At 47.3% G+C, this 14,069-nt stretch overlaps 1 protein-coding gene across 7 annotated transcripts in view, besides 1 other annotated feature; it reads right to left on the bottom strand.

Annotated features, from left to right (window-relative positions):
• The window catches only part of SCARA3 (scavenger receptor class A member 3), a 100,679-nt gene that overhangs the window by 73,453 nt on the left and 13,157 nt on the right, over positions 1-14,069 (bottom strand). For all 7 annotated transcript variants that reach the window (XR_949419.3, XM_047421850.1, XM_017013535.2 and 4 more), the window contains 4 exons: positions 10,889-10,987; positions 9,062-9,181; positions 3,809-3,907; positions 1,150-2,193 (listed from right to left, as the gene is read on the bottom strand). Coding sequence is in view for 6 of the 7 variants with exons in the window: in XM_047421850.1 (XP_047277806.1) it covers positions 1,150-2,193; positions 3,809-3,907; positions 9,062-9,181; positions 10,889-10,987 (1,362 nt within the window). In the remaining variant the exon portion in view is untranslated. The remainder of the gene's footprint in view (positions 1-1,149; positions 2,194-3,808; positions 3,908-9,061; positions 9,182-10,888; positions 10,988-14,069) is intronic.
• Positions 9,126-9,626: an enhancer, noted in NCBI's record as "H3K4me1 hESC enhancer chr8:27508580-27509080 (GRCh37/hg19 assembly coordinates)". NCBI's record gives its function as "activates a minimal SCP1, AML or CMV promoter by ChIP-STARR-seq in primed H9 embryonic stem cells {active_cell/tissue: H9 hESC(primed)}" and the evidence as "EXISTENCE:reporter gene assay evidence [ECO:0000049][PMID:30033119]".

Here is a 14,069-nt window from a genome sequence, read left to right as displayed (position 1 = left end):
TCACTCTACACTATTGATTCTGTTTCTCTAGATCTATCTATCTATCTATCTATCTATCTATCTATCTATCATCTATCTCTATGCTATTGATTGCTTCTCTGGATCTATCTATCATCTATCTATCTATTATCTATCTATCTATCTATCTATCTATCTCATCTCTATCTCTTTATCTCTATCCTATCTATCTATCTATCCATTTCTATCATCCCTATCATCTATCTCTATACACTATTGATTCTGTTTCTCTGGATCAATCAATCAATCAATCATCTATATATCCATCTATCTATACACTATTTATTCTGTTTCTCTGGATCTATCTACCTATCTATCTATCATCTCTATACACTATTGATTCTGTTTCTCTGGGTCTATCTCTCTATATATATATACACTATTGATTCTATTTCTGTGGATCTCTCTCTGTCATACACTATTGATTCTGTTTCTGTGGATCTCTCTGTCTCTCTCTCTCTCTCATACACTATTGATTCTGTTTCTCTGGAGAACCCTGATAAATAAGGAAGACATGAGGGGGATGAGAGGAGAAGAGTTTTTCAGAGTGACAGCCTCCAGGGGCAGAGGGTTGGGTGGTTGGGAGCATTAATGAGGGGGTGGGAAGGGAGTAAAAAAGAGGAGACAGTTTTCAAAAGACAAGATCTGCTTATTTCTCTATTAGGACTTGGTTAAATAAATCTAAATACAAAAATCCAGATTTGTATAATAGGCAAAGTTAGAAGCCATAATACCTTTACAAAAGAGGTTTGCAAGGATGTTCTTTTCCTTTTTTCTTTTCTCTCTCTCTCTCTTTTTTTTTTTTTTTTTTTTTTTTTTTTTAGATAAGGACTTACTCTGTCTCCCAGGCTGCAGTGCAGTGGTGCAATCATAGCTCACTGTAGCCTCGAACTCCTGGGCTCAAGTGATCCTTCTGCCTCAGCTTCCCAAGCAGCTAGGAGTATAGGTACACACCACCATGCCTGGCTAATGCAAGGACATTTCTTAAAGCTGCCGACTGCTGTAGGCATTTGCTATAGGATTGTGTTAGCCCACTAGTACTTTGCCTAAAACCAGGTACTTCTGTGTCCAGCAAGATCACCAAGCCTCAGTGGAAGCTTTGTAGCAGCCCTACCTGGACCCAGCTCTTACCTCGTAGGATGGTGACATTGCGAAGGATTTCTCCATGCTGTGTGTCCACTGCCTTCATCTCCTCCACGATCATGGAGAGGTTCCGGACGTTGAGGTCCAGCCGGGCACTGAGCAGGCTGAAGCGCTCCCGGAGCAGGTCTGTGGTGCCCAGCATGATGGAGACAGACTTGTTCAGGTAGTAGAGCTCCTCGGCATGGGTGTGGAAGCCCAGCGTGCAGGAGAGCCGCACGTCATCCAGGTACTTGAGCATGCTGTGCACGTGGTTGTCGGTGGCATTGATGTTGGTGAAGATGGTGCCAATTTCAATCTCGTGAGAAGCCATGCGTCCTTCCAGAGACTCAAACCTCTCCACAGTGCGGTTCTGGGCGTAGTGGGTATGGTACTGAAGATCATGCATGTTCTCTTCGTGGTCATCCAGGAAGGACGAGATGTTATCCAGCTGCAGCTGCAAGCCCATGACCTGGAGTACCAGGTCGTGCATGCTCTCTGAGTTCTGGCTGATGCGCTGTGAGGAGGCCCCCAGGGTGGCCTGGATGTTCTTGACCGCCTCTCCAGTCTTGGTGGAGGTGGTGCGCAGGCCGCTGAAGAGCCGTGTGTAGTTCTGCCAGTCGGTGACAATCTTCTGGAGGGTCAGGGTCTCCTCGTCTGTCTTCCGCTGGATCCCGTGGATCCACTCGGAAGTCTGCCCCACGGTGAAGTTGATCTGGTGCACTGCAGCCTTGACATCGTAGCACTCCTGGGTGAGGTCCTTCAGAGAGAGGTCCAGGCCAGCTGTGGTGGCCTGCCAGCCTCTCACCTGGGCCAGGAAGAGCCCCAGAGACTGGTTAACCTGGTGGATGGAGAAGGAGCAACTGCCCATCTCCTGGGAGATTTGTCTGCTGGTGGTGGAGAGCACCTCCTGGGCCTGTAAGGTCTGGTCCAGCTGCACCTCCTGGGCCAGAAGCAGCTTCTGAATTCCCTCCAGCTCCTCCTGCAGTTTTCGGATCTCTGGCCCCAGCTGCCCAGCTTCATGGCAGAAAGAGCAGTTGTTCAGGGCTTTCGGATCTTTAGGGGAAAGGGATAACAGTTTGAGTTGCTGAAGGGCCAGGGTACGACGCTTCCTCTTTAAATTAAATATTTCAGAGCATAAGAAATTGGTTAGTAGCTTCCCAAACCAACTTCCTTCCAGAAGTCCTGTTATGAATTCCTTCTTGAAAAAGCCTTGCCACCTCTATGGAATCTCATTTTTACCGACTTTCTTGACTCTGATCTGAAATGTAGCATTTAGGATGTTTCCTCCTTCTCACCACCAAATTCTCAAGAATGTATCTTCATAATTTTTCTTAGGTGGCCAGGAACTTCCCATTTAAACTTTATTTAAAAATTTCTCCCAGTATTTTTATATCTGTTATCTTATTCAATCCTCTCAAAATAATACATTCAATACAATCAAGAGGAACGAGGTGCAGAGAAGTGGCTTGGTAAATAGCCACGTATATTGGTGCCAGACCAGAACCTTCTATTTGCGTCAGATAAGACCACTCTAAACCCTTCTATCATTGCTCCTTCTGTCTCATTCTCTCTTAGATTGTTCCAGGTTAAAGCAGGGGATAAAGAACATCAAGAATTGTGGCATGACCTAAGCAAATTAACAGAAGAACAGAAAACCAAAGACCACATGCTCTCACTTATAAGTGGGAGCAAGACTGAATACATGTAGATGCTGGGTGCAGTGGCTCACGCCTGTAATCCCAGCACTTTGGGAGGCAGAGGCGGGCGGATCACGAGGTCAGGAGATCGAGACCATCCTGGCTAACACAGTGAAACCCCATCTCTACTAAAAATACAAAAAATTAGCCGGGCATGCTGGCTGCCGCCTGTAGTCCCAGATACTTGGGAGGCTGAGGCAGGAGAATGGCACGAACCCAGGAGGTGGAGCTTGCAGTGAGCCGAGATCACACCACTGCACTCCAGCCTGGGTGACAGAGTGAGACTCCGTCTCAAAAAAAAAAAAAAAAAAGGTTGAATACATGTAGACATAAAGATGGCAACAATAGACTTCAGTGCATACTAGATGGGAGAGGAGGGAGGGGGTTATGGGCTGAAAAACCACCTATTGGGTACCTGGGCTCACTACCTGGGTGACAGGATCATTTCTACCCCCCCAAACCTCAGTGTCACGCAATATAACCAAGTAACAAACCTGCACATGTGTCCCTTAATCTATAACAACAAAAGTTAAAATTATGGAAATAGATAAATAGATGGCACATATTAAAAAAAAAGAAAAAAGAAAAGAATCGTGGCACAGCTTAAGGCAATGATGAGGAAAGGGTTGACCTGGCAGGAGGTTTTGCAAGGTCTTGAAACTCTCATCATTTCAGATGCATGAGGCTATTTTGGGAATGGACTATCTTTGGCTTCCTTCTCTGCCTGTAGACTCTGGCTAGATCTGTGGTCCACCCAGAATCCCCTGCTCCAGTCCTGGGAGTATCCCAGGGTAGCAGCCCTCCTCTAATGGATGGAGATCCGGCTGGGGAGGGAGCAGGGAGCTGGGGATAGCCTCTGTGCCTAGAAGGCTGGTGAAGGTTGCTTGGTGCTGGGGCACTGTAGCGTGGGGAGGGCACCCCTGCCCCACCCTGAAGATCACTGCATCACAGTCATCAGCCCATCTACTTACCCAGGCCCTGGAGATTTTTCTGCATTAACACAAGCTTCTTGTCATAAATAGACTGGGTCAAGGAGATGTCTTCGGAGAGAGAGTCCACTTTTCTGAAAACTGTAGGGAAAACAGATGAGAAGCTGGGGCAGGGTCTAAGCTCAGAGAAACAGCAGTCATTCCTTGAGAAGGCATCTTTATCAGCTCCTCTGCAACCAAAACCTTTCACCCTTCTTCTCTCAGGCTTCTTCATGGCGGTTAGGGAAGATACTTCTTATGGCCAGAGTTTGCCACAAGGCCCTTTAGAAACAGAATAACTCACCCCACACCCCACATGTTAGAAATAGGACCTGATCACAGAATGGAACAGGGAAAATTCAGAAAAAAAATTAAAAAAAAATTATTCTTATTCCTACCACCCAAAGGTTGCTGCCATCAGTGTCTTCATGGATTTCTTCTAGTCTTGTCTACATTGATAACCATTCTTCAGCTACATAGATATATACAGTGTTCCCCTCTTACCTGCAGGGGATACATTCCAAGACCCCCAGTGGATGCCTGAAACCTCAGTGTATGGAACCCTAAATATGCTATGTGTTTTCCTATACATACGTACTTAAGATAAAGTTTAATGTATAAATTAGGCCTAGTAAGAGACTAACAACAGCTAATAATAAAATAGAACTATTAGAACAGTATGCTATAATAAAAGTTATGTAAATATGGTCTCTTTGTATCTGAGAATATCTTATTGTACCATACTCATCCTTCTTCTTGTGCTGACATGAGATGACACCATGCCTACGTGACGAGATGCAGTGGGGTGAATGACATAGGCATTGTGACTTAGTATTGGGCTACTACTGACCTTGACCATATGTCAGAAGGGGGATCATCAAGCCATGATGTTGCCGATTGACCTAGGGTAACTGAAACTGCGGATAAACGGGGACTACTGTACTTTCTTAGGCAACAAAAGCAAAACTGGGATGTTCTGAACATCTCATCTGTTTTCTTTGATGCTGCTTTATCAGTATCATGTCACGGACATTTTTCCATCCAGGGTTAAATCACTTTAAAATCACTACTTTTGGTATCTGCATGGCACTCTATATAAATAATACAGCAATTATGTAAGAATCTCCTACTGTTGAGGACACTTAAAGTACCTCTTCTTCTGAGCTCATAAATAAAACTTGATATATAAATATAAGTAATGCTTAATTCTAGAAATAATCCTTATATATGATGGTTATGTGTATATGATAATTCTCTTGGGATAAATTGCTTAAAATAGAATTATGGGACCTAGGGTATTAACATTTTTGAAGTCCTTGATACAAGCTGCCAAACTGCTGCCCAGAAAAGATTACACCACTTTATACCCCACGGGCAGCCTTGCACTCTACTAAGGGGGCCATGTTGGCCAGTGGTTAGAGCACGTCTTGGCAGCAGCAGGACGCCTGGCTTTTTCCAGCGGGTGCCTGAATGGGCCTGGTAGTGAGGGAGGGCATGGGTTGTTCTGAGGTTCAGCAAGATGCTTCCCACAGATCCTCTTAAGGTCAAGTACAAGGGGAAAGAATTAGCACCACCAAGAGCACTGAGTAACACAGCTTCTAGTCCTAGTTTACATCACATTTGTTGGGTGACTTTGGGCAAGTCAGTTACCCTTTCTTGAGCTCAGTTCAATCATATGTAAAATGAAAATGTGGAGCTCGATGACTCTAAGGCTCTCATCAGCACCAAAATTCTATGCTTTCAAATTATTTGGAATCTCCAGGCTCCAGTTAATATTGTACATCTCAGAGCTGTCAGTAGATTTACTTAATTAGTAACAGCAACATGTTGAGAGAGTTTGGGAATAAGCACATGCTGTTACATGAGACAAGCACTGTACAGTTTACAATAGTTATGATTCCATTTGAGCCTCCCTACAATTAAGATTTCATGCATAGATGAACAAAGACACAAAGAGACTGAGTGACTTTGATTCCTATTCCTATGCTTCATTAATTCTACTTCCAAGCCAACAGCCGAGGCTCACTCCACTCCATATAATTCATTCACCTGTTCATTTCTTTTTTCTTTTTTTCTTTTTCTTTTTTTTTTTTTGTGAGACAGTCTTGCTCTGTCACCCAGGCTGGAGTGCAGCAGTGTGATCATGGTTCACTGCAGCCTCAATCTTCTGGGCTCAAGTGATCATCCCACTTCAGCCTCGTAAGTAGCCAGGACTACTGGCATGTGCCGCCAGGACTACTGGCATGTGCCACCATGCCCAGTTAATTTTCAATTTTTTTTTTAATTGAAATGAGTTGGGGTCTCACTATGTTTCCCAGGCTGGCCTCAAACTCCTGAGCTCAAGTGATCCTTCCACCTTGGCCTCCCAAGGTGTTGGGGTTACAGACATGAGCCACTGCACCTGGCCTTGCTTATTTCTTCATTGTGCATCTCAGGCTTAATAATTATATATTTGCTTTTTAAGCCATTTTTCCTCACTTTTTAGACATGATTTTTCTTCATCCTTATAAAATTATGTTTTATGTAGACAATATGGCAAATAGTACATATACATCACTTATAAATAAATAGGTATATTTTGGGGCTGTGACGCTAACAATTTTTTCTTTTCTAACATTTAATTTAAAAATTTTTCAAACAAAAGAATAGAAGGACTTGTACAGTGAAGACCTATATGCCTATTGCCTAGATTCTACAAGTAGCATTTTTCTGTATTTATTTTATATTCATCCATCTCTTTCACCCATTCATCAATCCATGTAAATTTTTGAATGCATTTTAAATGAATTTTTTACTGATGGGATGCACGGTCAAAAAAGTTTAGGGATCACTGCTCTAGACCAGGGGTGTTGCAAATTATGGCCTGCAGGTGAAATCCAGCCTAATGCCTGATTTACAGGAGTTGCCACCCCCATTCATTTACAGACTGCTTGTGGCTGCTTTTGCTCTGTGACGAGTTTGGTTGTGACAAAGATTGTATGTAACCTGAAAAGCCTAAAATATTTACTATGTAGCCTTTTACAGAAAAAAATGGCCATAATCAGCTCTAGATTATAAGCTCCATGAAGGCAGGGTCTGTGTTTTACTAAGCAGTATACTGCCCAGTATAGAATATAGTTCTTGGTCCCCAGTATGCTCTTGATTTAGAAAAAAAAACTTGATTAAAATGAATAGAGTTGGTTTGTAATGTCTGCTGACTGATTTTCCCAACCCTCTGGACTTTGGTCACAGTTCTGGTTGTAAAGCATTGACCAGTCTATCCACAGACTCACACATACACCATACACACACACACACACACACACACACACACGCTTTACAAATCTATAATCATTCTTTCAACAAATATTATTGGGCACCTGCCATTTAGGCCAAGATGGTGCCAACACTGTTCTAGGGACTTGGGATACCCAAGCTGGAGGCAAAAACAAAAAAGGAAACCCAAAGGTCTCCCGTGGTTCACAAACACACACTCCTCACCCAGGTTGTTCTGATCCTCTGTCCATTCACTCTGGATCTTGGTGCAAATCCTGTCCCCTTCCCAGGTCTGTACCCTCCCGTGAGGAATGGGGCCAGCCTCCCGCTCCAGCCTGCCAGGCTGACTCATGGATGTTATGCACATGACAGCGTCTCACATTCTGTCATCCTCTCTGAAACTCTTCGGTGCCTGCGCTCTTCTCTGGGCCTGATCCTGTGGCTCTTGGAGCTTTGATAATGGCCCCAGGTGCCTTGAGTGCTGTGAGCAGAGGCCCTAAAAGGGGTGACCAGAAATCTTGACAAGTTCTCTGACAGCAAGTTTGTGGCCTCTGATAGGCAGACCGTGGCTCCTTTCCTCCTCTGGCCTGGGATTTTTGCCACTTTCTGAAATGCCAAACCTTGTGAATTGATTTAGCAGACACAGGTGGTGATGGGCTTGGGAAGTTCTGAAATCCTTGGTTCTTAAATCTAGCTGCGGACTGGAATCCCCTGAAGGGATTTACAAATGACTAAGGCCTGGGTCCTACCCAGAGATGATGATTTAATTCATCTGGAGTGAGTGGAGGGGGTACTCTGGCACTAGTATTTTTAAATGCTTTCCAAGGGATTCCAGTATCCCCTGACAAGAGGGAAGAACCATGCCCCTTGATGGTGAAATGTAATTGACACAACTCAGTGTTCCCAGTGCCTGGCACAGAGCAGGCTCCCGGCTTTTGTTGGATTAATTAATGCCTTCGGATTACTGGAAGACGACTTGTGTCTATTCAAATCATTAGTATGCTGGCCTCTTGCCTTCAAGCTAAGAAGGCTGGTTACCGAATATCTCCAGCCAGGGCCAGGACGAGGGGCCTCTCCTTAGGGATGTGCTCAGGCTCAGGGTCTGCATGAGAGCAGGGGGCCCCCCTCGGAGCCTCGACTGCCTCTCCCTACTCCTGGCCTTGTTTCTAAAATCCAGTAGATTGGAACAAACAAGCCTACCAGAGCCCGGATTTTCAAAGTTTGAAGCTAAGAGTGGAATGGGATTGCACTCTTAGCACTCTTAGTGGAATGGGATTACAAACATCAAATTTGTTGTAACAAGTTTACCACAATCTGTCAGCATCTGGAAGGCAGAAGTGACTTGCCTCTGGCTGTGTGCTGTGACCTAGGTCAACTACTACAAACCCTAATGTGTATGAGAAGAACCAAACCTCAGATCCCTGGGTCTCACCTGCAGGACCCCCCAGATTCCTTGGTCTCAGCAGGTCTGGCTGAGGGAGACCCAGGAATTTGCATTTTAACAAATACTGGAGGTGAAATTGCTGCAGGTAGGCATCCAGCCTCACTTTTAGAAACACACAGACCATAAAAGGGGGCTTAGAAGTCACTCAATCCAGTGATCTCAACCCTGGGTGAACAACAGAATCATCAGGAGAGTTGAAAGATACCGAATTAATTCCACGATCGGGGTGGGGCCTAGACATCGACATTCTTTAAAGCTCCAAGATGGCTGTAACATGGAGCTGAAACTGAGAAGCACTGACCTGGTCGTATCATCTCATTACACCAATGGGAAAGAAGGGGTCCCCAGAGGCAGGTGCCTTCCTTAAGGCCACAGATCTTGTCAGTTGCCAGTGTCTGCAGTTTGCATTAGGCATAGAGATCCCCTAGCCAGGAAGATGCTGGCTCTGGGCCCTGGGATACAGATGTCAAGTGTTTGTCTTTGCAGGGGAACTTTTGGTGCTGGATCCCTGATCAGACACCCCCCTGCAGCCCGGGGTGGGAAAGCCCCGGACTCACCCAGAGAGGCCAACACAGCCACGGCCACCAGGAGCAGGGCCAGGAAGAGGTAAAGAATCCGCACCGATGTGTGCAAAGATAGGTTCTTCTGGCAGCGGCTGCAGCGGGGCCCTGGCCGGCCTGTGGGGGACACAAGGAGGACAATGGCTTAGGCCAGGGGCCCAGGTTGGAGCTGAAGGGTCAGTTCCATGTTCCTGCTCTGGTCTGTCTCATCACATTCAAACCAGGCTCAGAAGGGGAGCTGTTCTCGACCCTCATTCTCTACCTGTCCTACCTCCTTTCTCTAGGTGCTGGTGCTTTCTGGAATGCAGGAGACCGAGTCAGGACTTCAAAGAACAGCCCCCAGCACTACCATCATCCTCTCTCCATGGTGTCTTCATTCGGCCCATGGGGAGGGGAAACACCTCTTCCCTCTCCATTGGTCCTACTGAGGACCCACAGGATGAGCAGCCAGCCTGAGGCCCCACTGAGTGACCAACTTGTCTGGGCTTGCCCAGGATCTTCTGGGTTTTAGCACTGAAAGTCTCCCATCACAGGAGCTCCTCAGCATGGTGCCAATCATCCTGGTTTGCTAAGATTGTCTGGGTTTTAAAACTGAAAGCCTGCCGGGTACAGTAGCTCATGCCTGTAATCCCAGCACTTGAGGAGGCTGAGGCAGGGGGATCACTTGAGCCCAGGAGTTTGAGGCCAGCCAAGGCAACATAGCAAGATCCCATCTCTATTTTAAAAAAGAAAAAAGAAAATGAAAAGCCCCACACCCTGGGAATCCCCTCAGTCCCTGGCAAACCAGAATGTTGGTTACCAGTCCCCAAACTTTTCAGGGAACCAGAAGTTCTCCTGGAAACCAAACAAATAGTCATGGTCCACCAGTTGAATTGTTGGCATGGAGGAAAGAGGGAACCAGATGGTCCTGAATACACAGACAGGTGGCCAACACCCAGTGGGAATGCAGTGATGGCCCAGCTGCGAATTCCTAAGGTGAACTCACCTTTAGCCACACATTCTGACTACTAGGACGTTTAAAAATCCTGATGCCCAGATCACACTCCAGGCCAAATAGGAATTTCCAAGGGTTGGTCTCATGCATCCATGGGTGATTGCAATGAAGAGCCAAGGTTGAGAACAACTGCTCTACTCTACACCAAAGTCACTGAGACCCCATTCCAAACAGCAGTTCAGGTGGCATGGGACACAATGAAGGGGACAGTTCCAGGCCAGCTAGAAGACAGGCCCCAGGGACAGGGTATGTAGCTCTGGGAGATGGCAGAAGTCCCTGATGGGTCTCGGGAGGACCCCAGGAGACAGGTGGCACTTGTGTCAAGCTTTGATTTCAGGCCAAGCACAGTGGCTCACACCTGTAACCCCAGCAATTTGGGAGGCTGAGGCGGGCAGATCACTTGAGGCCAGGAGTTTGAGACCAGCCTGGGCAACATAGCAAGACTCTTGTATCTACAAAAAATAAAAAAAATTATCCAGGCATGGTGGTGCGTGCCAACAGTCACAGCTACTTGGGAAGCTGAGGTGGAAGGATCACTCGAGCCCAGGAATTTGAGGCTGCAGTGATCTGTGGTTGCACCACTCATACTAGCCTGGACGACACAGCAAAACCATGTCTTTAAGAAAAAAAAACATTAAACTCCTTTGACTTCACTGGTACTGCACGCCCAGGGCCGTGAACTCTGCCCTTTCACCATCCAGGAAGCAGTGGGGAAAGGACACCCAGGCTTTTGAAACCACCTAAAGAGACAAATCTCTCACTGGCCTGGGGATGGAGACAGGGATCTCTCAGCCCAGAGCGGAGATCAGGGGCAGCCCCAGAGTCCTTACCCTTCTGGGTGCATGGGAAGGTCGGCATGTCCTCGTCGTCACCCGCCAGGTCCTCTTCTGTAACGCACAAGGCATCTCCATCGCCGCCGGCCGACCTCACTATAATGAAGCCAGTGCCGTCAGACCCAAAGCCATCCCAGGCCTCTCCAGCAGCCCCTTTTATTTACCTGTCCCCATATCCCATGCCCACCTCTACCCCTGAGCCAGCTCACTGAGCTCCAGGTGGCCTGATGTAAGCTGCAAAAAGGGAGCGGACATAAGAATCAAGTGGCTGAGGAGCTGGGATGTCCCACCCCTCTGGGTGAGGAGAGCTCCCCATTTTCCACACGCTGGGAAAGACACATGGGCCACCTCAGTGCCTGCTCTCTCTGGAGCTTGCTGAAACCCATGAAGGTGGAGTAAGGAGAAATAAGAGCTGGCTGCTTGCTCTGGCTTAGCGTCCTTCTATTCCCCAATACTTGGTCACCGAAGCAGAATTCCTCTTCTCCAGGGACAAGGCTGAATCTGGCCACAGCATAGTCCCCACCAAGACTCTGCCTCCAGCATAGCCAGGAGGAGGCCAGAGGGAGGAGGAGATGACAGGATGGGCGCAGATCCCTGCTTCACACAATCTCACCTAGGACCCATCAGGGTGTCAAAGGGCCTTGGGCGGAGCAGGTCTCCTTTCAGAGTTTGATTCGGTGCTTATTCTCTGGGACAATATGGTCCCTAACTAAAACCTAGATGATGTATCCCTCACTCAGAAGATTCCTCTAGTTCCCCAGACACCCTTCACCTCCCACTCCCTGTAAGTAAGACCTGGCCTTTTCTTCCCTTTCTCCTTCCTTCCATCCTTCCTTCCCTACTTTCCTCCCTCCTTTCCTTACCTCTTTCCTTCCCTTTCTCCTTTCCTTTCCTTTCCTTCATTCCTTCCTTCCTTTCCTTCCTTCCCTACTTTCCTCCCTCCTTTCCTTCTCTCTCCCTCCCTCCCTCCTTTCTCTCTTTCTCTCTCCTCCCTCTCCCTCTCTCTTTATCTCTTTCTTTGCCGTTTTGTTGGGTCCTTAAGGATTCCCTGCTTTCTTTCACCTTTAGCTATGCACTTAGCAGTATGTCTGTAGTTTATTTAATGTCTACATTTTATAGCCCGAGAATATTTTAAGCTGGTAATGCTAGAAGTAGAAGCTTCAAGTTTTCCTTTTTTCCTTTTTTTTTTCTTTTGAGACAAAGTCTCACTGTGTCGCCCAGGCTGGATTGCAGTGGTGCTATCTCGGCTCACTGCAAGCTCTGCCACCTGGGTTCACGCCATTCTCCTGCCTCAGCCTCCCGAGTAGCTGGGACTACAGGTGCCCGCCACCACGCCCGGCTAATTTTTTGTATTTTTAGTAGAAACGAGGTTTCACCATGTTAGCCAGGATGGTCTCCATCTCCTGACCGTGATCCACCCACCTTGGCCTCCCAAAGTGCTGGGATTACAGGCGTGAGCCACTGCGCCCTGCCTCCTTTTTGTTTTTAATGCAATAAAGTGCTGGGTTTTGCCTCAAGGCAATCTTCACAACATCTTATAAACTTTACAGTCCAGAGAGTCACATTTATAGACAAAAAGACTGAGGTTCAGGGAAGTGAAGAATGTTGCTTAGCAGCCCACAGAATAGAAGTGGTGAAGCCAAGATGTGAACTCAGAAATCTTTTCTACCATACCTACAACCACCTTGAGGTAATGAGCAAAGGTTCCACAAAGTGCTAAGAAACCTTGCTTCTGCAACTACAAGGTCAGCGGGTAGACAAGAAGAGGGTGGTACATGAATGAGCTGCGGAGCCTCGGGGGCTCCTGACCATGATTGATGGGCATCTTGAGCCGCATCCTAGACCTGTGAGTACCTGAGGCCCAAATGCCATGCCACGGCCATTGTGATCAACATAGGAGCTGAGATGCAGTTGGCAAGGCGCTGTTGGTAAGCAAAGGCAGCTCTGAATGGACTCAGTAGGGAGGGGACTGAGGGTGACCCCAAATTAAAAATGCCACCATCAAGACCACGAGTGCCCTCTGCTCGGCCTTCACGCATGGCTTAAACGTCACTTCCCCAGCAGTCTTTCTTGAGCTCTCAGACTAGCGTAAGGCCCTGTTGCCCACACCTCACATGCTCTGTGCTCTCCCTAGGAGAATGCTCCTCTCCTGTCCATGCGGCAGCTCTCTTCCCCAGCGCTTCAGTTCCAAGGGCAGGGACTATCTGTCATGTTCACTGCTTTATCCAACATCCCTAGCACAGTGGCCGGCACAGAGAGCCGGCACAGAGAAAGGCTCAACAAACACAATTTCAAATAAACCAATGAAGGATTTGGTATTAGGCTTCCCAGCAGTTCTATGCCTGCCTGTGGAGCTCTCTGGGGAGCTTTCAAGGGTCCACCCCCAGAGATTGAATTAATCTGGGGCGACAAAGGAGACCTGGGGTTTAGGACTTTGAAAGCGCTCTCACATCTGTTATCCCATTTGATCCCTACAACTAGTCTGAGAGACAGAGAGAGAACATTTTCTCCTGATTTGATAGGTGAGGAAACTAAACTTTGTGTATGTGTGCACATGTGTGTGAGGGTGTGTCCGATGCATGTGTGAGTATACATGCATGCCTGCGTGTGTGCCTGTGCTTGCACATGTGTGCACGTGCATTTTTGCCCATGAGTGTGCATGTGTGTGTACCTGTGTATGTGTGGTGTGAGGTTGTTAATGCCTGGCTCAAGTCATAGAGCTGGGCAGTGGCAAAGCTTCCGGAATCCTGGTTTTCCTCTCCACAATAGGAGATTCCAGGTAGGTTTGCTTTCCGGGGCAATAGTGTGTGTGTGCGGGGGGGGGGCGGGGGCGGTCAGGGGTGCGGGCAAGTGCTTTGGAGGGTAAAGCGGGAACAGCAAGGAAGCATGAGAAGTTTGTTTTCATGCATATCCTAAGAAGCACTTTCAGCTCTCCTTGGGCAGCTGTCCCATCGTCAATCTGCCAACAGTTTACAAGGAAGCCTGGCCTGGGCAGTCACCAGGATTATGATCTCTTTCCCATAAATGAATGGCTGGGGCAAGGCAGGGGAATTCCTTGGTACCTTCTGTTTCTGTCTGACCAAAACCTCACCCTAGTAGCCATGGCCTCTCACCTCCAGAGACCCCAGTCAGAACCACGTTGTGGGCTGTGGGCTGTATTCACCACTGCCCCGGGGCT

This window comes from Homo sapiens, chromosome 8 (genome assembly GCF_000001405.40).
Source record: "Homo sapiens chromosome 8, GRCh38.p14 Primary Assembly".
NCBI classification, from domain to species: domain Eukaryota; kingdom Metazoa; phylum Chordata; class Mammalia; order Primates; family Hominidae; genus Homo; species Homo sapiens.
The sequence above is the reverse complement of the archived record's forward strand: the minus strand, read 5'-3'. Positions and strand labels throughout refer to the sequence as shown.